The following is a 24,677-nucleotide window of genomic DNA, read 5'->3' on the forward strand; positions in this document are numbered from 1 at the left end:
ATGTTTAGATTCAAGATTTGGGGGGTGGGGAGGGGTTTCCAGATATAATTTTTAAACTGATTTTTAATTGATTTTTTACTGTTTTATTTTTTTAATTCACCAATTAAAAATGTATGTTTCTCATGTACAACATGTAATTTTGAAATATGTATACATTGTGGAATGGCTAAATAGAGCTAACATATACATTCCCTCACATACTTTCCATTTTTGTGTGTGTGTGGTGAAAACACTTTAAAATCTACTCTCAGCAATACATTATTATTAAGTATAGTCAGCATGTTGTACAGTAGATTTTTTTTTTTTTTTTTTTTTTTTTGAGATGAAGTCTTGCTCTGTTGCCCAGGCTGGAGTGCAATGGTATGATCTCAGCTCACTGCAACTTCCACCTCCCAGGTTCAAGCCATTCTCCTGCCTCAGCCTTCCGGGTAGCTGGGACTACAGGCGCGTGCCAACATGCCCGGCTAGTTTTTTGTGTTTTCAGTAGAGATGGGGTTTCACCAAGCTGGCGAGGCTGGTCTCGAACTCCTGACCTCAAGTGATCCTCCCACCTTGGCCTCCCAAGGTGCTGGGATTACAGGCGTGATTCACCGCGCCCGGCCAGTTGTACGCTAGATCTCCTGAAGGTAATCCTCCTGTCTAGTTGATATTTTGTAACTTTCAGCAACATCTTTCCAGCCCCTGGTAACCACCATTTTCCTCTTCGATTCAAGTTTCTTGGCAATGAATAGTCTTGAACAGATATTTGGAATTACCTTTTGAAGGAAGTACGATTCTTGGCTCAGTGTAACTTACTCAAGTATCCGAAAGGGCTGATTTATAAGGGAGAAGGCTAAGGACGATCTGTTAACATTGCCATCGGTTATTCCATGAAGCGGTAGCCACTGAAGGAAAGTCTGAGTAGTTTAGGTTAATCCCATGTCTTAGACCATTCAGGTAGCTAAAACAAAGTAACACAGACAGGGTGGCTTATAAGCAGCAGACATTTATTGCTTTCTGTTCTGGAGGCTGGAAGTCCCAGATCAGGGCCCCAGCATGGTTGGTTTCTGGTTCCTTGTGTCCTGTCGCATGCTGCTGACCTCATGACCTAATCACCTCCCAAAGGCCCACCTCCTAATACCATCACGTTGGGGGTTGGGATTTCACCATATGAATTGAGGGGAGGAGGGTAAACATTCCATCTATAGTACTCCCTAGACGACATTTTCTGTTTACTGTCACTTGTAAAAATCCAGTGATTCTCTTTTTTACATGTTGTGATTTTTAATGCAGTAAAAGACAGGGTAAGGCTAGCCTGGAGACAAAAAATCAGGAATAAAAGAAACAGAAGACAGGATGAGAACAGGCATACAGTACAGACATGGAAAGTGAAGGAAAGAAAAAGTGAATAAACATTGAGACATAGAAACAGAAAAAGAGAAAAATAGGTCAGTTTTTGAAATATTAACTTAAAGCTCCTTTTGCTCCTAGTTTACTGATAGAAGTCAGTGATATTCCTTACCCCCTATAGATTCAATCATACCAACAGAAGGCTAAAGAAAGGCACAGGTGGTGTAAACTTACTAAAACTCTTCATCAGAACTTTGAAGCTACTTACTATTTCTAGCTAAATACTTTCTATTTCTTAAATATTGTTTGTTTACTCGTGTGTGAAGGTAAATTGTATTTAATACAGAACTTCCTGTGGTGTGATATTAAAGATGACAGTGAAAACCCGCAAGTCAAGAAATGCAAACTGGTGAGCCTTAGAGCTGTACTTACTTTCCCGTGATGTGGATGTTGCCTAATAATACACGGACATATTTCACAGCCTAACTAGTTACCCATCATTTATTTGATGTGTGAAGACAAGGCCAACTTCTCAAATTTAGCGTGTTGACATAGGAATTTTAATCTCTTTCTTTCTTGAAAGAGGAAAAAAATGTAACGAACAGTATTAAATTCAGCGAGGTGCTGTGGCTCACACCTGTAGTCCCAGCTACTCAGGAGGCTGAGGCAGGAGGATTGCTTGAGCCCAGGAGTTCAAGGTTACAGTAAGCTATGATTGTGCCACTGTGCTCCAGCCTGGGTGGTGACAAAGTGAGACCCTGTCTCTAAAACGAAAAAAAAAAAAAGGACAGTATTAAATTCAATTCCTAATAGCTCTTTTTGATATTGATAACCATATACTAAAAATGTAATGGAAATAAATACATACACAACTACAGTGCAACCAAAAGCCCATTGGAAACAAGGCACATGGCTATTCATTTTAGAGACTTTTGCTTCAGAATTTTGCAGAAAAACGATGCTTCTTAAAAGCAGTGCTACTGGGCACAGTGGCTCCCACCTGTAATCCCGGCATTTTGGGAGGCTGAGGTGGGAGAATCCCTTGAGCCCAGGAGTTCAAAACCAGCCTGGGCAACATAGAGAGACCTCGTCTTTAAAAATAATTAAAATTATCCAGACATGGTGTCACACGCCTGTAGTCCCAGCTGCTCAGGTAGTTAAGGTGGGAGGATGGCTTGATCCCGGGCAGTCGTGGCTACAATGAGCTGAGATCGTGCCACTGTACTCCAGCCTGGGTGGCAGAGTGAGACCCCGTCTCAAAAACAAACAAACAGCAACAACAACAACAAAAAAAAAAAAACCCAGTGCTTATTAATGTATTAAAGTTTAACTGGCATTAAATTATTCCTTTGTAAAACAGTTTGTCTTTGTTTTGTTTTTGTTTTTGTTTTTGTTTTTGTTTTTGTTTTGGAGACAGAGTCTCGCTCTGTCACCCAGGCTGGAGTGCAGTGGCACGATCTCAGCTCACTGCAAGCTCCACCTCTCAGGTTCAAGCAATTCTCGTGCCTCAGCCTCCCGAACAGTTGGAACTACAGGCGCGCGCCACCGTGCCCAGCTGATTTTTTGTATTTTAGTAGAGATGGGGTTTCACCATGTTGCCCAGTCTGGTCTCGAACTCCTGAGCTCAGGCAGACGGCCTGCCTTGGCCTCCCAAAGTGCTAGGATTACAGGAATGAGTGACCATGCCTGCCCAGCTTGTCTTTGAAATGGAAAAGATATTTTTGCTCAGTCCTGTATTTTCAATATGCCTAGATGGACTTAACTCAGTCTTACCAAGGGGAAAAAAAAATCTTCAGAGTGATACCAAGATAGAAAATTTCAAACTGATTTTTCAGCAAGTTTTGAGTGAATGAAACCTGATTAATAGACTTCCCATTGCAGATTGTGTTACAGTCAAGCTACTGCACTCATCCAAACAATTGTGCTCACACACATGACTTCCGTTAATATTGTCATGTTTCCCTTTAATTGAGAATGTACTTCAGTTACTGAAGTTACTGTTTGAGGTGTGTGAAATTGTATTCTCCCCAACAGTCCCTGCGAAACGAGAGACCTGGGTCATCTACAGAGGAATACAGTAACTAACAACCCCTACTATAAGCTTCTTCATAGCTTCTAAAGGTTGGTGGAGAAACCAACCCATTTCGTGCTTCCTTACCCCAAGTAAGAATTTAAGGAAGTAATGTAGGCTGTCTAACAATACAAAATGACTTGCCTATGAAAGTATTGTGATCAGAGTTTGACTTCAGCTTTAACGGCCAAGAAACAGAAGATGTGAGTCACTGCCAAATATGCATATTGGTTTATTTTGTGTGCGTGTTTTGTTTATAGTTTTGTAGTTTTGTTTTTGTGATGCAGAGCCTTCTGCTCCTGACATTTGCATTTTTCACCTCATATCTCCAATGCATTTCACTGCCACCATGCTGCCACCAACACCACCGCCATGAGGACAGGACAAGAACTTTGTCTTTTTCAATGCTAGGGCAGTGCAGAAGGGAAATGCAGGGTCAGAGCCCCTACACAGTCCCCACTGGGGCACTGCCTAGTGGAGCTCTGAGAAGAAGGCCACCATCCTCCAGACCCCAGAACAGTAGATCCACCGCTGGTTTGCACCTTGCGCCGGGAAAAGCTGTAGGCACTCAGTTGTCAGCCCATGAAAGCAGCTGGAAGGGGCCTGTGCCCTGCAGAGCCACAGGGGCAGAGCTGCCCACGGCCCTGAGAGCCCACCTCTTGCATCAGCGTGACCTGGATGTGAGACGTGGAGTTAAAGGAGATCATTCTGGAACTTTAAGGTTTAATGACTGCCCTATTGGATTTCAGACTTGCCTGGGGCCTGTAGTCTCTTCGTTTTGGCCAATTTCTCCCATTTGGAGTAGGTGTATTTACCCAATGCCTGTACCCTCATTGTATCTAGGAAGTAACTAACTTGCTTTTGATTTTACAGGCTTATAGGCAGAAGGGACTTGCCTCGCCTTATATGAGACTTTGGACTTGGACTTTTGGGTTAATGCTGGGGGCCTGTTGGGAAGGCATGATTGTGTTTTGAAATGTGAGGACATGAGATTTGGGAGGGGCCGGGGCAGAATGGTATGGTTTGGCTGTGTCCCCACCCAAATCTCATCTTAAATTGTAGTTCCCATCATCCCCACGTGTCATGGGAGGCACCCAGTGGGAGGTAATAGAATCATGGAGGTTGTTACCCACCATGCTGTTCTCATGATAGTGGGTGGCTTCTCATGAGATTTGATGGCTTTATAAGGGTCCTTTCCGCCTTTGCCTGGCACTTCTGTCTCCTGCCACCATGATTGTAAGTTTCCTGAGGCCTCCCCAGCCATGCAGAAGTGTGAGTCAATTAAACCTCTTTAATAATTACCCAGTCTCGGGTATTTCTTCATAGCAGCGTGAGAATGGGCTGACACACTATGTCTTTCTATTTAAGGTGGGTTTCTTGTAGAGAACATATATCAAATCAGTAATTGTCTTCTGATTGAAGTGTTTAGAATATTTGCACCTGATATAATTATTGACACAGTAAAGTTAAACCTATCATCTTTATATTTATTTGTTTCATCTATTTTTTTCCTCTGTTTTTGTTTTCTTTTAAAGTAATTTTTTTTTGTTATTTTATTTTATTTCCACTAGTGGCTTAAAGCTCAACTCCCCACCCCTTTTAAGTGATTACTCTGTGGTTTACAGTGTACAGTTTTACCTTATCATAGTCAAATTTTGAAAATATAGTATACCACTTCAGGTATAGTATTGGAATCTGCCAATAGTATACTTCTATTTCCTTTGTCTCAAACTTTATGCTATCATTGGCATACATTTTATTCCTCCATATATTATAAAAGCCATAGTACATTGTTACTGTTTTTGCTTTAAATCAGTTATCTTTTTTTATTGTTTATTGTGCTAAAACATACACAACATAAATTTTACCATCTTAAAAATTTTTACGTGCACAGTTCAGTGTTATATTCATAACGTAAACTATCACCACCATCTATCTCTGTAGCTCTTTTCATCTTGCAGAACTGAAACGCCATACCTGTTAAACAGTAACTCCCCATTCTCCCTTGCCCCATATTCCATCTGCCTTCTGATTTTACTCCTGTAAGGGTTTCGTATAAATGGAATCAGGCAGTATTTGTCGTTTTGTGACTGACGTATTTCATGTAGCAAGGTTCGTCTGTGTTGCACCTTGTTTAAGGAAATGCTGTGTCAGAATTTCGTTCCTTTTTAAGGCTACTGTTTTATATACCACATTTTCCTTATTCATTCCTCCATTGATGAACACTCGGGTTGCTTCCACATTTTAGCTCTCATGAATAGTGCTACCGTGAACACGGGTGTATAAATACCTTTTCGAGACTGTGCTTTCCGTTCTTTTGGTATAAAATCAAAAGAAGAGAAATTGCTGGACTATGAGTTAACCCTATTTTCAATTTTTTGAGGAACCACCGTACTGTTTTCCACAGCGGCTGTACCAACTGACATTCCCACCAGCGGTACACAAGCGTTCCAGTTTCTCCATATCCCGGCCAACACTTGTTATTTTGTAGTCTTTCGTGTGTTTTTTAAATAGTAGCCACCCTAATGGGTGTAAGGTGGCATCACATAGTTTTGATTTGCATTTCCCTAATGATTCATGATGTTGAGCATCTCTTCATGTGCTTATTGGCCATTTCTGTTTTTTCTTTGGAGAAATATCTATTCAAGTTCTCAGCCTATTTTTAAATCAGGTTTTCTGTTGTTGTTGTTACTGAGTTTTAGAAGTTCTCTACATAGTTAGATAGTTATCCCTAATCAGATATACGATTTGCAAATATTTTCTCCCGTTCTGTGGTTATCTTCTCACTGTTACTGTGGTAATAGTGTCTTTCGATGCACACATTTTTTTATTTTCAGGAAGTCCCATTTGTCTATTTTAATCATTTATATTTTATAGAGATTAAGATTATAAAATAATATTTTTCTCATATGTTTACCATTTTCAAAAATCTTTGTTTTTTATCTGTGTATGTCTGAATTTCCATCTGTCATCATATTCCTTCTCTCTAAAGAACTTACTGAGGCTGAGAGCAGTGGCTCATGCCTGTAATCCCAGCACTTTTGGAGGCCAAAGCAGGAGGATTGCTTGAGGCCAGGAGTTCAAGACTAGCCTGGACAACGGTGAAGCCCTTATCTCTACAAAAATTTAAATTTAAATTTAAAAAATTTAGCTGGATACAGTGGTGTGTGCCTGCAGTCCCACCTACTCGGGAGGCCCAGGTGGGAGGATCACTTTAGCTCAGCAGTTCAAGATTGCAGTGAGCTATGATCACGCCACTGCACTCCAACCTGGGCTGCAGAATGAGACCCTGTCTCAGAAAATTAAAAATAAATTAAAAATAAATTTTAAAAAAGAACTTCCTTTTAAATGTCTTGTAGTACACATCTGCTGGTAATTAATTCTATGTTTTATTTGTATGAGGGAGTGTATTTTTATCAACTTCCGTTATGGCCAGAATTGTGTCCCCCCTCCCAAAATTCCTATGTTGAAGTCTTAACCCTCAGTACCTCAAAGTGTGACGACTATATTTAGAGATAAGACCTTTAAAGAGATAATTAAGTTAAAATGAGGCCATTAGGGTGAACCCTAATCCATTGTAACTGATATCCTTTTAAGAGACACACCAGGGTACACACACACAGGAAAATACCACATAAGGGCAAAGCAAGAAGGTGGCCATCTGTAAGCCAAGGAGAGAGAGGCCTCAGAAGAAATGAAACCTGCTAATACTTTGATGTTGGATTTCTGGCTTCCAGAACTGTGAGAAAATTAACTTCTGTTGTTTAAGCCACCCAGACTGGTATTTTGTTATGGCAGCCCTAGAAAACTGTACACCTTGTTTTTGAGATGTTCTCTGGGCACAGATTTCTTGGTTGACAGGGATTTTTTTTTTCCTCTTTCTTTTAATACTTTTAAGATGTGGTTCCATTTTCTTTTGGCTTGTATAGTTTCTGTTGAGGTCTGCTATATTCATGTAGCTTTGTTTTGGGGTGAGTGGGTTGGTTGGTTGGTTGATATACCATGTTCTTTTTTCTCCTGAGGCTTTCAAAATATTCTCTTTATCTTTAGTTTTCAACCATTTGATGATAATGTACCTAGTTGTGTTTTTCTGTATATCTATCTTGTTTGGAATTCTCTGAGCCCCTGCTCTGGATCTGTGTTTTGTTGTCTTTCATTAATTTTGGAAAATTCTTGGCCATTATCTCTTCAGATATATCTTCTGCCCACTTCTCTCTTCTCCTTTGTAACTACCATTATGTATTTGTTAGATCATTTGATATTGTCCCATATCTCTTGGATTTCTGTTTTGTTTTGTTTTCTATATTTTCTTATTATACTTGAAGTTTTCTGTTATTAGTTTGGATAATTTATATTGATCTATACTTAAGTTCACTTTCTTTTTGTGTGTGTGTCATAATTTTTTATTAAATGTTAAATAGTCTAAGTAAAAAGAACAGTGGAAACCAAGGTAAATAAAACTTATGTCTGGAAATATACTTTCCTCTTCTTCTGTCAGGCCATTAGCATTGGGGACTGAATCAAATAACTCACTAATTGAGCTGGGTTTGGGCTTCTTTCCACTCTAGTTACCTTCATGGTGCCACAGGCCTTGAGCTTTTCAGTGGTGGATTGCCACTTTCATACGTTTAATGTGAGCTCTGTGGTGCCGATGTTTCTGTTTCATGCTTCTCTCTCAGCTTTCAGCATGTCCTTCATGCCTGCACCGCAGAGGGCCTCTCTCCATGCTCTTGTTCTTCTCTAAGCAGTAGACTGTTCTTGTTACTCAGTGAAGACTCAGGGTCGGGCAGGAGTGGCTTCTTCATTTTCCTGCTCCAGTCTTGGTCTTGGTACTTCTGTCCCACCCCCAGTGACAGACAACATCTCCCCCCTACTCAGCACAGGTCTAGACTGTCGGCTGATTTCCTACCCCTTCCCCAGTAGCAGCAGACTTCTAGTTTGAATCCATTCATAATTTGGGGTCCTACTGGACTCCCTGTCTCCTTCCTGGCAACAGTTTGCTTTTGCCTAATGTCAGCACAAGAGGTAGGGTAGATTTTGTACCAATTCTCTAGCCTAGGAATAGAGGCCATGAAGGTTGCTGCCCTACCCCCAGAAGCACACAGCTTTTCCCTTGTTCTAAAATGTTGAGCATGGAAAATTTGGCCTTATGTCTTCTCACTTCCGGGCTTTCTTGATGTCAAGCTCCCTGTCATTCTGTGTCCATGTTGTGATTGAAGAAAGCAATCTTAAACATGCATATTTTAGGAGTCACAAAAAATTATTTGCAGAGGATTCCAGAAGAAAGTTTCCTCTGTGAAAACCTTCTCTTACCATTTTTTACATTATATATAATTTCTATTTTTGTCCCCAGGCTTTTTTCTTTATTGTGTGTGATTGTATCAAATTAATTTTAATGAAATATTTCAAACATTTGGAAAAATATGGAGATTAATATAACATTACCTTTATACCCAGAATTAACAAATATTACTTTGTCTTATCTTCTTCAGATCCTTTTTAATGCTAAATATAGTATGATATTGTGATATAATAAGAAATACACATTTGGTCTCGGTCCCTAGTTCCTTATACACAGCTCCTGAAACTCTTGGAATCCCCTGAGTGATGCGTGTTTGTTTTTTTAATGCTAATAGATGACTGGTGGCTGGGAGCTCTGGATGGAGACTGGTTACCAAGGGAACCAACCCTGTGATAGATGGTTGGGACTCTCCAGCCCACACCCCAGCCTCTAGAGAGAGGAGGGGAGCTGCAGGTTGAGTTGATTGCCCGTGGCCAATGATGTAATTAATCATGCCTACTTAATGAATCTTCCGTAACACTCTAAAGGATAGTGTCCAGATGGGTTCCAGATAGCCAGCCGAACACACGGAGGTGCTGGAGGTGCCCAGAGAGGTCACGGAAGCTCCACACCCCTCTCCATGTGCCTTGCCCTGTGCATCTCTTCATCTGCCGGTTCATTTGTGTTATCCTTTGAAATATCCTTTGTAATAAATGGGTAAACATGAGTAAAGTGTTTCCCCAAGTCCCATAAGCCATTCTATCAAATTAACCTAATCCGAGGAAGAGATCCTGAGAACTCCGGTTTATAGCTGGTCAGTCAGAAGCACAGGTCACAACCTGTGATTGGCATCTGAAGCTGGAGGGTGGATACTGTGGGACTGAGCCCTTAATCTGTGAAGTCCGACACTGTCTCCAGGTAACTAGTGTCAGAATTAAATTCTAGGACACCCGGTTGGCGTCTGCTGGAGAATCTGGGTCAGGAGAGTTGTGCCGACTCTGTGAGATTAGGAAAAACACTTTGTTTTTTCCTGCCTCTAATAATAATTAAAGTCTTCTTTGTATCTCTTCTCAGCTGTATTTTTCTTTTTTCAACTACAGTGGCACAGCCACCATCCTAAATTGGTGTGCATTTTTACAGTCCATATTTTTAGCGTTTTAATACATATATGTTTCCATAAACAATGTACAATACTGTTGAGTGTGATATAAATTTAAAATATATCGTCTCATACTACTTAGGCTGTCAGTTCATTATTACTTACTGAACTCAGGCCCTCTAGTCATTTGATAATAGAAGAAAACATATTCTTGACATTTTTCAGAGAGGGTGATTCTTAGACCATTTTTTTAGGGGCCTAAGCCCTAAAGAAGCCTTCTTTAAAGGAAATAGATTGAGGTAATGTCAAGGTGGAACACAATTATGGTACGAAGTGTCTTGACCCAGCACTAAGAAAAAGGTTTTATTAAATTCAGGAGTTTTTTAAATTGCTGCGCAATAGAAATACTTATTTTTGGAGTGTGGATAATTTGATACATTCATATGCTGTGTAAATATAAATAAGAATAATTGGGATATCTGTCACCCTAAATACTTTCCTTTCTTAATGCTAGGAACCTTGAAATTCTCTTCTAATCTTCATACAATGTACAACAGATTAACATTAACTGTAGTCACCCTATTGATCTGTGGAACACTAGGTCTTACTTCTATCTAACTATATTTTAACCCACTAATCAGCCTCTCTTCAGCACGCCCCAACCCCCTTCCTGGCCTCTCAAGTTCAGTTTTAGATTTCAGCATCTTCTCTGTTTACTTTAGGATGCTCCCGTATCTGACCACTGTTACTTAGCTTTCAGAATCGCCGATCACTGAAATTCCAGGTCCAGGGGTTCTGCACTGCGCTTAGAATTTCTCCTCATGTATAAGATGTGCTGGTTGCACCGCCAAGCCCTGTTGCCGTCTGTGGGACAGGAAGCCTTGTTAGTGCCTCCATGAATCCAGCACTGACATTAGCTCACGTAGAACTAACATCTACTCAGGGAGTTGCGTTAGTGGCTCTTAAGAAACTCCATGAAAATTGTGAGAAAACTTCAATGAGAACGTTTTTGACAAGTCGCCTTTCCCTTGTATATAAATGCGAACCGTTTTTCATTTTCAAAATTTCAAACTTTTTCATAGAACTCAAGGATTTGAGTCCTGCTTCCTTTGAGAGGGGTAACAGTGAGTTTTACATAAACACTGTGTATGATTTTAAAAGGCAGTACTGAACATGTGCTACACATTAATTCCTTAGTTTCGAAAGATGCGACGGAGTGGGAAAGTTCGATATCCACAGGTGCAGATATTGGAAAGACCACACTCAGGTGTATGATCTTTCTCATAGCTGCAAGTGACTGTGTTCAGCTTTCCAATGAGGTGAGGAAACATTTATGGGCCTCCTATGGCTCTCTTATTCATTCACCACTGTGCTGTGTAACACAATTTCCCTGCAACAATAAACTTCAACTTTGCAATTTGTCACCAGTGCAATGGCTCATGTAGTTATAAAGTGAACGTGGTGACCAATTTGGGGCGTAATATTGTTCTGCAGTCAAAGTATCCTAATTTGAAGAAATTTTATGTATCGTGATTTTACACCAACTGGCCAAAGTCAGATAGTCTGATTAAATAGATTTGGTTTTGGCTAACTATATGTAGTTAATTCTACACACTTTAAATATTTTGGTTTGCAGGTATTTTTTGAAGGCTTAAGTATTTGGTTTCTGTTTCTTTGGGTTTCCTGTCTGTAGATTCTACCAAGCGTATGTTGTTGAAATAATGAATTCAGGGCCACCTTACCCCTAGCTGCAATCTTGTCAAGTTCCAGCAGCTGAGTAAACTTGGGTCAGGTCAGATTTGAGACACCCTATGACCAAGAAGATATTATTTCTAAATATCTTGTATACATTGAAGAACAGCCATTATTTTATCTCTTCAAGGTAATTTTCTTATCTAGTTCATGTTATGTTTTTTACTTCTTTTGAATTATATAAAATTGGAAGTTATATTTATAATATTGTTGTAATGTGAGGCCAAGGGGGAGCACACATCAGAAGATGGAATAAGCAAGCAGAAGCTCGGATCTGAGTCTCACAGTACTCCAGATGCAGTGAGTGGTTCTGGAGCTGTACTTCTCAAAGAGGGTGGCAGCTCTCAGAGAGGGTGGGGCCCTCAGAATCACCAGAAGAACTGTGTTCTCTTGCATTCCCATCCCCATAATTCTAATAATCTAGAGAAAATGAAGAGAGAAAAAATAAGGTGAAGCCAGGAGTGAGCTCGCAGGCATTGTCAGAGATTTAATTATTGTCATGTGCTACATAACAATATTTCAGTCGATGACGGACCCCATGTTCCACAGTGCTCCCGTAAGATGATAAGACCATATTTTTACTGTACCTTGTCTATGTTTAGATATGTTTGGATCCAGAAATACCACTGTGTTCCAGTTGCCTACAGTACGTAGTACAGTCACATGCTGTACAGGTTTGTAGCCTAGGAGCAATAGGCTGTACCAGACACCCTCGGTGTGTAGCAGCTATACCACCTAGGTCTGTGTAAGTCAGTCTGTGATGTTCCCACAACAAGACCTCCTGACGATGCATTTCTCAGAATGTATCCCCACCATTAAGTGACATGTCTGTAGTATGCAGTTTATAGTACCCCACGATATTAAAACAGAAACAGAAAAAGAAATTCCTCCCTCATGGGTCCTCATAAAGAATCTGATCGTAAGCAACATCTTCAGCATCCTTCCATATGTACAGCCGTGAGGTTCAGAAGACTTCTTTTTTTAAGAAACATCTCAGCAATATAATAAGGCCAAAGTTCATCTCATAAAAACCGTTTTCTAGGAGACCGTAAATATTGCTACTCAAATATCTAATATATTATTTAATATTGGGAATAAATTTTCAAGTCTTTGGAAAGATTTAGGCAGTACTCTCTAAATATTAGTTGTCTCAACCATTTTTTTATACATTAAGCAGCAATATGTTTAGGATCTAGTCTTTGACAGATACCAGAATGCAGCTATTCAGTGTTCAAGTATAGAGTCATACACTTTAAAAGTTAATCGAAAAAGGAAAAAAAAAATTAGCCAAGTATGGTGGTGCATGCCTGTGGTCCTAGCTACTTGGGTGGCTGAAGTGGGAGGGTCACTTGAGCCCAGCAGGTTGAGGCTGCAGTGAGCCAAGATAGCACCACTGCCCTCCAGCCTGAGCCACAGAGCGAGACCCTGTCTCAAAAAAAGAAAAAGAAAAAGAAAAAAAAGTTAGTCAATCTGCCCCTTCCCCTTAATGGTGGCTGAGGAATCAGCTGGCATGGTCAGTGAGGCTGGTGCCAAGTGTTCAACTGATATAGCCAAAATGACTGGCAGGACAAAGGCACTGGGTTTGACCAGCATGGTTGGCATATTTGGTAGTGGAGCTGGTCCTCAGGATCATGCCCTGGGCATTTGGCAGGACCATGGATTCTGCTAGCATAGCTGGTGTGTTTGTCATGCTGAGACCAAGAAGCCAGCCCACATGGCCAACATTTTTGGGAGGCGAGGGCTGAGGATTCAGCTAGCATGAGTGGAAATAGCAGGCCAGGGCCAAGAAAGTGGCCCACATGGTTGAGAGACTGGTTACATACCAGGAGATCAAGCAAATGAGTAAATATATTGGAGCTAATATATTGAGGATAGTGTGTTTGTTATTATAGGAGATAAGAGTACCAGATATAGAAAGAGTAAAGACAAATCCTATCGTATTGGATTGTTTTTAGAGGTATTGATATGAATTCATGGTTTTTAACAGATAAATAGATTTAGATTTCTCTGTGTGTATGTGTGTTTATATATGTGTATATGTGTATGTATACACATATACACATGTATGTATTTTCTTTTTTTTTTTTTTTTGAGATGGAGTTTCGCTCTTGTTGCCCAGGCTGAAGTGCAATGGCACGATCTTGGCTCACCACAACCTCCACCTCCCAGGTTCAAGTGATTCTCCTGCCTCAGCCTCCCGAGTAACTGAATCGGATTACAGGCATGCGCCACCATGCCCGGCTAATTTTGTATTTTTAGTAGAGACAGGGTTCCTCCATGTTGGTCAGGCTGGTCTTGAGCTCCTGACCTCAGGTGACCCACCCACCTTGGCTTCCCAAAGCATGTATGTATTTTCTAACCTTATCTGCTGAAGGGACCTGGAAGCAGTGACACCCAGTAACAGAGAGCTCACTTACTACTCAAATGTTGGTCTAGATGCCTTTTCCCACCAGAAGGAACCAGAGCTCTTTGGGGAAATGACTGAGTCTAGGGCTGTGTGTGGGAAAGCACGTGATAATCCCAGAACAGTTTTATACCAGAAAGTAAGGAAGCATTCCAAGAGTGGTGGGGATGTATCAAAACAACATGGGGAAAATCTTGAGGAATTCGAGCATCAAAATAAGTAAAGATAGTAACAGATTATAACAACTAATATAGAGAGAGTATTGCCTAAATCTTTCCAAAGACTTGAAAATTTATTTCCTATATCAAATAATACATTAGGTTTCTGAGTACTTGGGCAGCAATATTTAATTTAGGGTCTCCTAGAAAATGGTTTCTATGAAATGAACTTTGACATTATGATATTGCTGAGATTTTTTTTAAAAAAGAAATCTCTGAACCTCATGGCTATATATATGAAAGGATGCTGAAGATGTTGCTTACAATTAGACTTTTTATGAGGACCCAGGGGGAGAAATTTCTTTCAGATCTCTGGACTAGAAATAATCAATATTCTATTGAATAAAATAGAAATCTTTGAGTCTGTGATGGTATAAAGAAGTGAATGAATGAATGAATGAATGAATGAACAAGTAAATGGGGGAGAAAGGAAAACTCCACCCTGTGGTTGAATGCCAGCATAATGTAGACGGAATTATGGAATTAGAGAATCTGCATTTGGCACCATTATAGTAGTGACTGATTTAGGCAGGTATCATCAATGAATGTGAAAACACCAGGTGAAGGTTGACTAAGAACAGACTATTTGCATAGACTGAAAGTATCTCGTCAAACACACAAAAATGTATGTCAGTTAATTAGCACAAAGTATTTATAGTTAATTTACATTGGAAAAATCTGACACATACCATCTAAACCAAGTGATTAAGGTTAGCATCTCCAGTAGTGGGACACGTCAATGTGTGCCTCTTCATCATAGGCACAGAGAAGAACACAGGTGGTACTCTTGCCAAACAATCACCTGAATTTAACACCAGGAAACATACATAGAGTGATATAGATAGAGATACAGATAACGATACAGATAGAGACAGATGTGTATACACATGTATATTTATCAAGATAGAGAATTAATTAATGAATGATATGACAAATGTAAAATGTTAGCAGTTAAGGAATCCAGGTGAAATTTATACCAGAATAGACTTAAAGATTTCTGTTTTATTCAGTGAGTTATAATATTTTATAATCATTTATTTCAATGCTCAAATTCTCCAAGATGTTTCCCGCATCCTTCTAATATATGCCCACTACTCTTGGAAAACTTCCTTACTTTCTGGTATAAGATGTTCTTTTGAAATTATTTTAAAATAAAAAGTTTTTAAAAACTTAAATCAGTAAACTAGGATTAAGATTTTAATCCTCTTGTGAAAATTGAGAGGCACAGGAGTATTGAAAATACAAGTATTAGCCTAAATAGCCAACCCCAAGGTAACACCCACAGGCAGCCGCAAAATGGTGCCGTGGCAGGTGGAGCTTTGTGTGGGCTGAGTCGGTGTTACCCCATGAGCAGTGCTGCCAGTTACACCAAGCTCCACCCATCGCTGCACCATTACAAGAGGTAAATACGTTTGAATGCGACATCCATTTCATTACCATTACAGTGTTTAATTGTAAACATTACAAGAAGGCAGGTTTAAGTTTAACAGAAAGTGAAACTTCCTAGATCTCTCCACAAAAAGAATGGGCAGCCATATTTGAAATAAGTCCTTTTGACTGGAGAGAAGCTACTCAGTTGGGTTATAAAAAGGATTCAGGATTGCAAGATGATTTGAGTCAGCTTGTTTCTAAGGTGGTGGTGGTGGTGTTTTTCTAACCCTGATTGTCTATTATCTAGTATAACAGGGATGTATAATAGCCCCCTCCTCCCAGTTTTAGGACAGTATTTGAATGTGACATCCTAACTTGAACTCCATAAAAAATAAATTAGGTAAAATAGTTGAAAAGGGGAAGAAAGGAGGAATGAAAAATGAACAATTGTTTTGAAAAGGCAGTTTTCATAGGATAAAGACTTGCCTAAACGATGAGGAGGCCCTTTTTTTTTTTTTTTTTTTTTTTCATTTTTCTAGTTCCACTTAGGATAGACCAAGATAATATATTAAATTACAAAAGAAATATTTTAGTTAAACATAGGGAACAGCTGTCTGACTATAAAACTAAGCAACATGGAAAAAATTCAAAAGAATGTTGTAGAATTTCCTTCTGGAGAGTTTTAAAAACTAAGGTTGACTCCCCATCACTTAGTGCCCATCCCAACCTCACCATACTTGTCAATATTGTACCCATTTGATACAGATCATCTCATACAATTAGCCATATGGATTATATATGAATATGAGACATGTATAACCTGTATGTTGAATGATTGAATATTTTTGAAAGTGCAGCTTTCGTTTTTAAAACCTTTGTCGCCCAGGAATTTTAGATAAAGCCAACGTTTTTGGCTCTAAAATTGAACTTTGAGCCGGGCACAGTGGCTCACACTTGTAATCCCAGCACTTTGGGAGGCTGAGGCAGGCAGATCACCTGAGGTCAGGATTTCGAGACCAGCCTGGCCAATGTGGGAAAATCCTGTCTCTACTAAAAGTACAAAAATTAACCTGGCGTGGTGGTGGGCACCTGTAATCTCAGCTACTTGGGAGGCTGAGGCAGGAGAATAGCTTGAACCCAGGAGGCAGAGGTTGCGTGAGCTGAGATTGCACCATTGCACTCCAGCCTGGGAGACAAGAGCGAAACTCTGTCTCAAAAAATAATAATAATAATAAAATAAAACTGAGCCTTTGTAGCAATGGGTGGTTGTTTTAAGCCTTAATAAAGAAATGTGTTTTAATTCCAGATATTAACCAAAAGGCACCTAACATATATTGCTAAAACTACCCCCAATTCAGCAGGCATAGAGACATAAAACACTAAACTTAAGAGAACAAAATGGTAAATAGGACTTTATCAAACTTTAAACTTCTATTCATCAACACTGGGAAAAAATATTCACTAAATACATACATACACACACAAAAACACATACACACATGACAAAGTACTTGTATTGAGAAGATATTTTAAAAGTCAGTAACAAAAGATATTTAATAGATATTTAGTATCTATTAGATACTTAAAACAACATAAGTTTTTAAATGGGCAGAAGACTTGAACAGACTCTCCAAATATACAAAGTAAGCACATGAATAAGTGTTTATGCAAATGAAAGCCACAAAGAGATAGTACTACAGTATCACTAAAATAGCTAAAATTAACAAAACTGACAGTACCAAATGCTCGTGAAGATATGGAGCAACTGGAACTCTGATACACTGTGATGAGAGGGTAAAATGGCATAATATTTTAGAAAACTGAGAAGCAGTTTCTTATAGATGTACATCTATCCTGTAACCCAGGGATCCTATTCTTACTCAAAAGAAATGAAAGCATATGTCCACAAAAAGACTTGTACAAGAGTGTTCATAGCAGCTTTACTGGAAAAAGTCCAAAAGTGGAAACAACCCAAATGTCCATTAACAGGAGAATAGGTATTTTTAAATGATCATATATCATTAATGGAATACTACTCAGCAATAGAAAAGAATGAACTACTAATACAAACAACTGAATCTTCAGAAACACTGTGTTAAGCAAAAGAAGCCAGACACACACAAAAAATTATGTACTAAATGTATTATTCCATTTATATGACATTCAGGAACAGAATAAATTATGGTGGTAAAAATTAGAACAGTGATTACTTATAGGAATTGACTGAAAGAGGATAAAACAGAACCTTCTGGGGTAATGAAAATGTCCTATATTTTGACTGGGGAGATGGCCATGTGGGTAGATAAATTCATCAAAATTCATTCAGTTGTACACCTAAAGATCTGTACATTTTGTTATATGGCAACGTTTAAAAAAAATACTCCGCCTCCAGTCTCCTTTTGAACTGTTTGAAGTAGTACAACTGATAGGCAGATTCTGCTAAAAAGCTAAAAATATAATTTTTCTCTAGAGTACAAATTTCTTTTTTTTTTCCACCGTAAATGCCAGCCTCCCATCAGAGGCTGAACCACAGTGGAATCAACTTTCATCAGCCAGCCCCTCTGTGGCTCACTGAGCTTTGGATTCCAGGTCCCTTTCCCAGCACTTAGTCCCATTTTTAATTTTCAGGAAGTATTGTTCCAAAACTTGGCTCAGACTTATCCTCTCCTTGGATTCCTTTCTCCATTTGTTTTCTCGGTTTTGCTCACTTACTCTTTAACTTGCACCCCTCTTTTTCCAAGGTGGTGGATTAGGGGGTGTTAATGCTGGGGCAGTGTTAGGCACAGAACCTAGGAGTCATCTCCCTCACTCCGGGACCGCATCAATCATCAGTCACAGACATGACAGTTCATTTTTCCCTCCTGAACGCGCCTGCACAGATGGGTGTATCGCTCAAGTAGCCAAATGGATGTAGCTGTTGGGGGACAGGGCCTGAGGGGCAGCAGGGAGAGAAAAGAACAAAGAAAGAAAGAAGAATGGTTCTTTGTGGGGCAGCAAACTTTCTTCTGGTTCCCAGCCTGAATGTTTCTGATCTGGTTTTCTTCTTTTTGTGATGTTTGAACTTGTTTCCTCAACTCAGATGCTGAACTCTTGTCCAAAAAACCTAAGGGCAGCATAGTGTGAGAGACTGTGGGAGGCAAGTCCAGCAATCCAGCAAAAAGAATTGCAGAACTGTGAAGATAAATGTGTGTCCGTATCAGGACTGCGCTGGAGAACGGGAAGAGAGGGGTTGGGGTGCTAAGACTGTGTGTGTGTGTGTGTGTGTGTGTGTGTGTGTGTCTTGACAAACTGATGAGAAACACTATTGAGTAGTTTTCTCCTCTCTGCTCTCACACACAGTCTGGCACTTTCTTCTTCTGTGACAGCTGCCATTAACTTTTTAATGCGAAGACAAGGGTATCTTGCCAATTGGATGTTGAAATCTCTGGCAAGGAAAAGCTTGCTTTAAAAAAAAAAGAGGCAGGGAATATGGGGAAGGTTGGGCAGACATACCAAAGGTCCGGGGGAAGACAGGGTACTAAGTTGGACCTTACAATGCAGAATGGCTGCCCTGCTTCTGATAAAATCCCCTCAAATGAAGTTGGGAAAAGAAAGAGGAAATGGGAGTGTGAGTGTAAGGGAGATAAGGAACTCTTTTACGCAGTTGCAATGACACAGATATTAAGTATTATTTGCAATTCACTCCCGATGGATGTGAGAACTCCTCATGGAGTTTTGGTGTATATGTGGGACCTTGTGCTAAATGTAGAATAATCTTGTTTGTGCAGAAAGAGAAGGAAAGAGAAAATATTAGGAGACCTCTGTAGACCAAAACATTATGATACAAAAGATTGTTCCAGTCATTTCCTTCCATAGCTTATCTCAGAGAAGGGGAGTTCTGGTGTTCGTGGCTCGCCTATCAGGTCTTCCCCTCACCTCTAAACTACGGCAGCTCTTGATCCTTATTACTGGTACCTACCCCAAACTCACCAGGTCTAAATAAAACTGAACATAAAAACATCCTGTTGTGAATTCAGTTCTCATGTACCTTCAGCTTTGCAGCAAAGAATGCAAAAGCCTTTTTTTTTTTTTTTTTTTTTTTTTTGAGACAGAGTTTCGCTCCGTTGCCCAGGCTGGAGTTCAGTGGAGCGATCTCAGCTCACTGCAACCTCCCCCTCCCGAGTTCAAGCAATTCTCCTGCCCTCACCCTCCCGAGTAGCTGGGACTACAGGTGTGCACCATGACGCCCAGCTAATTTTTGTATTTTTAGTAAGAGACAGGGTTTCACCGTGTTAGCCAGGGTGGTCTCGATCTCTTGACCTCACGATCTGCCCACCTCAGCCTCCCAAAGTGCTGGGATTACAGGCGTGAGCCACGGTGCATGGCCACAAAAGCCTTTTTTAATCTAGTTTTTATTAGCTTGGCCTCACACTGGACTCTTTAAAAAAGAGTCCTAAAATATGAATATGGAATATTATATGAAATATTTTATAAAAATATTTTATAAAAAGCTCAGCATTTATGGAGATCTTAGTGTATTTTAGCTGCCCTAATTGCTTTTTTCCTTTGTGTTGAACGTATTCCCATGGGAGAAGAAAGTTCACCCTCCTGAGTCCCTGAGCTCCTGCAGGAAGAATTATTTACCATCCTGGAATTTTAATGAGTCTTGACAATTACTGTAATCCAGGTCATTGAACGCGGGTCTGTCATCGCCAGTGTCATCTTCCAGAGATGATGCTCCCCCAACTAAGCTGAGAAGAAAATGAGTCCTTGTGAATGCCAAAGAGACATGAATGTGACCTGCACCAATGCTGCAAACCTAAAGCCAGTGGGACTAGAAACTGTGGAAATGACAGTCTTCCGGTCCGGTCAGAGCATCTGAAATAAATTGCCCACAGTTTTCTTCCAAACTTTTAAATTGTTTACAAAAGGTTTGGTGGTACCAATCTTACTGAGACGGCCTAGAAATACAAGTAACGTAAATTTCTTACAGAGTGTCTACAATGCTGCATGCCAGAGGCACTCAGCACACCTGAAGGATGTGAAGCTCCTGTAGGAACAGTAGCTCTGTACAACAGTAATCTCTAGACAACCAACGTAAATTTAAACAAAAAGGTGTGAGACCACACACCCTTCTTCCAGTGGGGCATAACTGCCCAGGTGTAAAATCAGACAGGAACCCTGAAATATGAACCATCTCCAGTTTGCAGACAGACATTGCTGCCATTCTCCACTTGACTCCCCTGTGCCCATGCCTGAAAGCCCCGCTTCCCCTAGAGAGGTGGGGGCAGTGTGGCCACAGCCTCTCTCCCCGCAGTACCACCTGGTCCCAAAAGTCCCAGCCCTCCACGGCAGCACTAGTGAGGCCTCCTTGCTGTTGCTGCTGTTACTCCCTGAGCCTTCTAGAGAATCTCCTGCATGCCCTGTGAGAATGTGCTGATGCTGGGGCCACTGCCACAGTCGCGGGTTTTCTCCCAGACCCCCTTCTGGTGCCAAGTAGGAAAGATGGGACCAGGCTAATTCTGTTGCCACTGAGACAAGTGAAGACATATCCTGATGTCTGGAGTTGGATCTCAGAAGGCGCCTTCCAGTGTATAAACTGATATGAAATGGTGGTTAGGTCCTGTGGCACTGCACACCAACACTGTATTACCTTGCTCGGGACACCGTAACAAAATACCACAGACCGCGTGGCTTAAGCAACGTAAATTGATTTCCTCACAGTTCTGGAGGCTGGAAGTCCGAGATCAAGGGGTCGGCAGGGTTGGTTTCTCCTGAGGCCCCCTCTCCTTGGTGTATACATGGCTGCCTGCTCGCTGTGTCCTCACGTGGTCTATCCTCTCTCCCTGTGCTCCCCAGTGTCTTTCTGTATGTCCAGATTTCCTCCTGTTACAAAGATACCAGTCATACTGGATTTGGAACCACCCTGCCTGCCTCATTTTAACTTAATCGCCTCTTTAAAGGCCCTGTCTCCAAATGCAGTCACATCATTCTGAGGTTCTGGTGATTTAGGCTTCCACCTATGAATTTGGTGGGGACACAGCTCAGCCCACCACAGACATTATGGGTAAAATAGGCTCATGGCAACAACTTCCGAACCTAACTACTGCTTGGGTAATTGTTAAGGGTTTCAAAATAACTGACTGTCAAACAAGCTCTGGAAACTGCATTCCAAATAAACTGTGGGGCTCTGCCTGTTAAAAGGTAGGAGGTCCTGGCGAATCTGTTATGTCCAGTAATTACTGAATACTCCCTTAGGGGCCATTCAGGGTCTGCTGGTTACTTCAATAAAGAATGCTGTAAGAAAAGCACTGAGTCTCTGGCCCTTTCTAAAAGAGTTGTGTAAGAGACATAAAGCCATAAAATATGAAGTAGGTGCTTGTTTAGCGACTGAATGAAATCAGGAATTTTCCGGAGATAAGATTATGGTATTCTTCTACACTGTATAAATGCTATCTTCCTGCTTTGTTTACCTCTTTTTATACAAAAGACCACCTAGGCACAAAAGGAAGTGCCCCTACCTAGCATAGTCTGAACGAGTGAAAGAGAGTCTTTAATTTTAACACTAAAGATAACAGATCTTGCTGTAAAGTGCAATGATGCTTAATAGCCCTAAAGATCAGGTTGTGATTGATGGGATTTCTCATGGTGTTCTTGTTAAAGATAAATAGTAGTTTTTAATGTTATCAGACTGGAAACATCTTACTCTTTTCTAATGTAAGCTCTAAAGCAAACTTCGGACACTAACATCTTATTGCCAACTTAACAGAAAAGTGTGATGGGATATTGGATAAGGCTCCGACCTGCGTGCCTGAAATTTCAGTGGTTCGGTTTGTTCCTTTGAATGAGGCATCTCTCTGAGGCACTGCCTTTCTAAGTGCAAGTTTTCTAGGAAGGGCAGTGTGTTGTCAGTTTCTCCTTAGCGTGCCCAGTGTATCTAGGATGATACAAACAGGAAGAGACTGGGAAAAGGAGGGTTCAAAAAAGGGAGGGACCCAATGGCCAGATTAAAAACCAGCTTAACCTCTTCATTGTATCCCAGGCCTGATGATTGAGCATCTTTATTCTTAGGATTCTCCAACTTTAGGCTACCTGATACATCTAGAGCAGCGGTCCCCAACGTTTTCGGCACCGGGGACTGGTTTCACAGAAGGCAGTTTTTCCACAGACAGGGGAGTGGCAGGGAAGGGATGGTTTCAGGATAATTGAAGCACATTACATTTATTGTGCACTTTATTTCTGTTATTATTCCATTGTAATATATAATGAAATAATTATACAATTCACCATAATGTAGAATCCATGGGAGCCCAGAGCTTGTTTTCCTGCAACTAGACTGTCCCATTTGGGAGTGATGGGAGACAGTGATAGATTATCAGGCATTAGATTCTCATAAGGAGCACGCGGCCTAGATCCCTCGCGTGCGTGGTTCACAATAGGGTTTGCGCTCATATGAGAATCTAATGCCTCAGCTGATCTGACAAGAGACGGAACTCAGGCAGTAATGCACGCAATGGAGAGCGGCTGTAAATATAGATGAAGCTTTGCTTCCTGGCTAGCCCTTCACCTCCTGCTGTGTGGCCCAGTTCCTAACAGGGCCTGGACCAGTACACGGACCCAGTACTGGGAGTTGGAGACTCCCGATCTACAGTATGTGAGAAATCACATCAACCTTTTACAAGGATTGAGCCTAAATTTGAACCAAAAAATACTTACTTCTAAAAGTAAGTAAGCCACAGATAGATGTCAGAATACAACTAGCAAGAAGGTAAAGACTCATGGAAAAGATGGAGTAATGAGTTTTCTTAGCACTGTATGATACGACAGAAAAGCTGCAGGGGGAAGGCTTCACGAAAGCAAAAAACTCCAACTAGAAATAGCCTGCAGGGGCCAGGTGCAGCGACTCACGCCTGTAATCCCAGCACTTTGGGAGGCCAAGGTGGGTGGATCACTTGAGGTCAGGAGTTCAAGGTCAGCCTGGCCAACATGGTGAAACCCATCTCTACTAAAAATACAAAAATTAGCCCAGCATTGTGTTGCACACCTGTAGTCCCAGCTACTTGGAAGGCTGAGGCAGGAGAATCGCTAGAACCCGGGAGGTGGAGGTTGCAGTGAGCTGAGATCATGCCACTGCACTCCAGCCTGGGCAACAGAGCAAGACCCCATCAAAAAAGAAAGACAGAAAAAGAGAGAGAGAGGAAAGGAAAGGAGGAAGAAAGAAAGGAGAAAAGAAAGGAAAGAAAGAGCCTGCAGGCTCTCAGGGATCACTGTTCTACTGTTATTTTATAAGGCAAACCAGGGATGAGCTGTATTTAGCCACAGATTATTAAATCTGGAAAGAATTTAGAAATCATCTAATCTCCCCTTTATACACATAATGAAGCTGAGGACAGAGAGGCTCAAGATGGTAAAGCTAAGTGGCAGAGTTAGAACTAGACATTTCTTCCATTTCAGACCTTTTCCCACTACTTCCCTGTGCAACCTTGGGAAGAAAGTCCTCTTAGCCTGTCAGAGGCATCTCTGTCTGTAACTGTTCTCCTTCACGAATGTTAACTCCTCTGCAGGATGCCACAGGGACATTTGCCTTCTAGTGCAAGCAGAGTGTTTCAGGAATGCATAACAGCAGATAGATACATGTCTGTGCTAGGTGTTGTGCACTAACCAAGCACTATGGATTTCTTGCAGGGAGAAAAAGGAAGAGTAGATAACTAACAATATCTTATTAAGAGTCTCCTGCAGGGCTGTGACTCCACGCAGCTCTCTTCTCCCTGTCCTGCTGGTGGGAGCCTTGAGCCCAGCTCTTGAGCACTGTCTGGTGTGGCACCCTGCAGGCTGCCAGCAGCTGTCATACGGGCATTGGGATCGTTGGAAAGTGCTGCAACATGGGAGTAGCTGGGGCAGCTGTTGATTGGGAGCAGCCTCCACGGGCTGTGTTCAGTGGGTGATTCCATGCCTTTGGTCTGTGTGGAGCTCACTCTCTCCCTTGGCTCCTTCGGAGGGGTGGGCCCACCGCCCTCTCCAGCTGTTTTCTCAGAAAGAGAGGCAAAGAAGAAGGACCTGGCGGTCCTTCCAGAGTGCTTGCTGTGGTGTGGGCTTCGCCTCCCCTCCGTGTGGGAATAAACTGTGTGAAGCCATGTGGGTCCTGGAGCTCCGTGGCTTCACCCACACTTTCT

General features: G+C 41.1%; 1 protein-coding gene and 1 long non-coding RNA gene across 48 annotated transcripts in view, besides 1 other annotated feature; both read left to right on the top strand.

The window, feature by feature from the left end:
* ERC1 (ELKS/RAB6-interacting/CAST family member 1) overlaps positions 1-24,677 on the top strand; it is a 505,975-nt gene that overhangs the window by 454,970 nt on the left and 26,328 nt on the right. The window lies entirely within an intron of this gene.
* Positions 275-21,812, top strand: LOC124902856 (uncharacterized). Its single transcript, XR_007063156.1, has 2 exons — positions 275-1,738; positions 3,364-21,812. It is a non-coding gene; the product is annotated as an uncharacterized LOC124902856 (long non-coding RNA).
* Positions 802-1,303: an enhancer, noted in NCBI's record as "OCT4-NANOG hESC enhancer chr12:1554896-1555397 (GRCh37/hg19 assembly coordinates)". NCBI's record gives its function as "activates a minimal SCP1, AML or CMV promoter by ChIP-STARR-seq in naive and primed H9 embryonic stem cells {active_cell/tissue: H9 hESC(naive and primed)}" and the evidence as "EXISTENCE:reporter gene assay evidence [ECO:0000049][PMID:30033119]".

Source organism: Homo sapiens, chromosome 12 (genome assembly GCF_000001405.40).
Source record: "Homo sapiens chromosome 12, GRCh38.p14 Primary Assembly".
In the NCBI taxonomy this organism is placed as follows: Eukaryota; Metazoa; Chordata; class Mammalia; order Primates; family Hominidae; genus Homo; species Homo sapiens.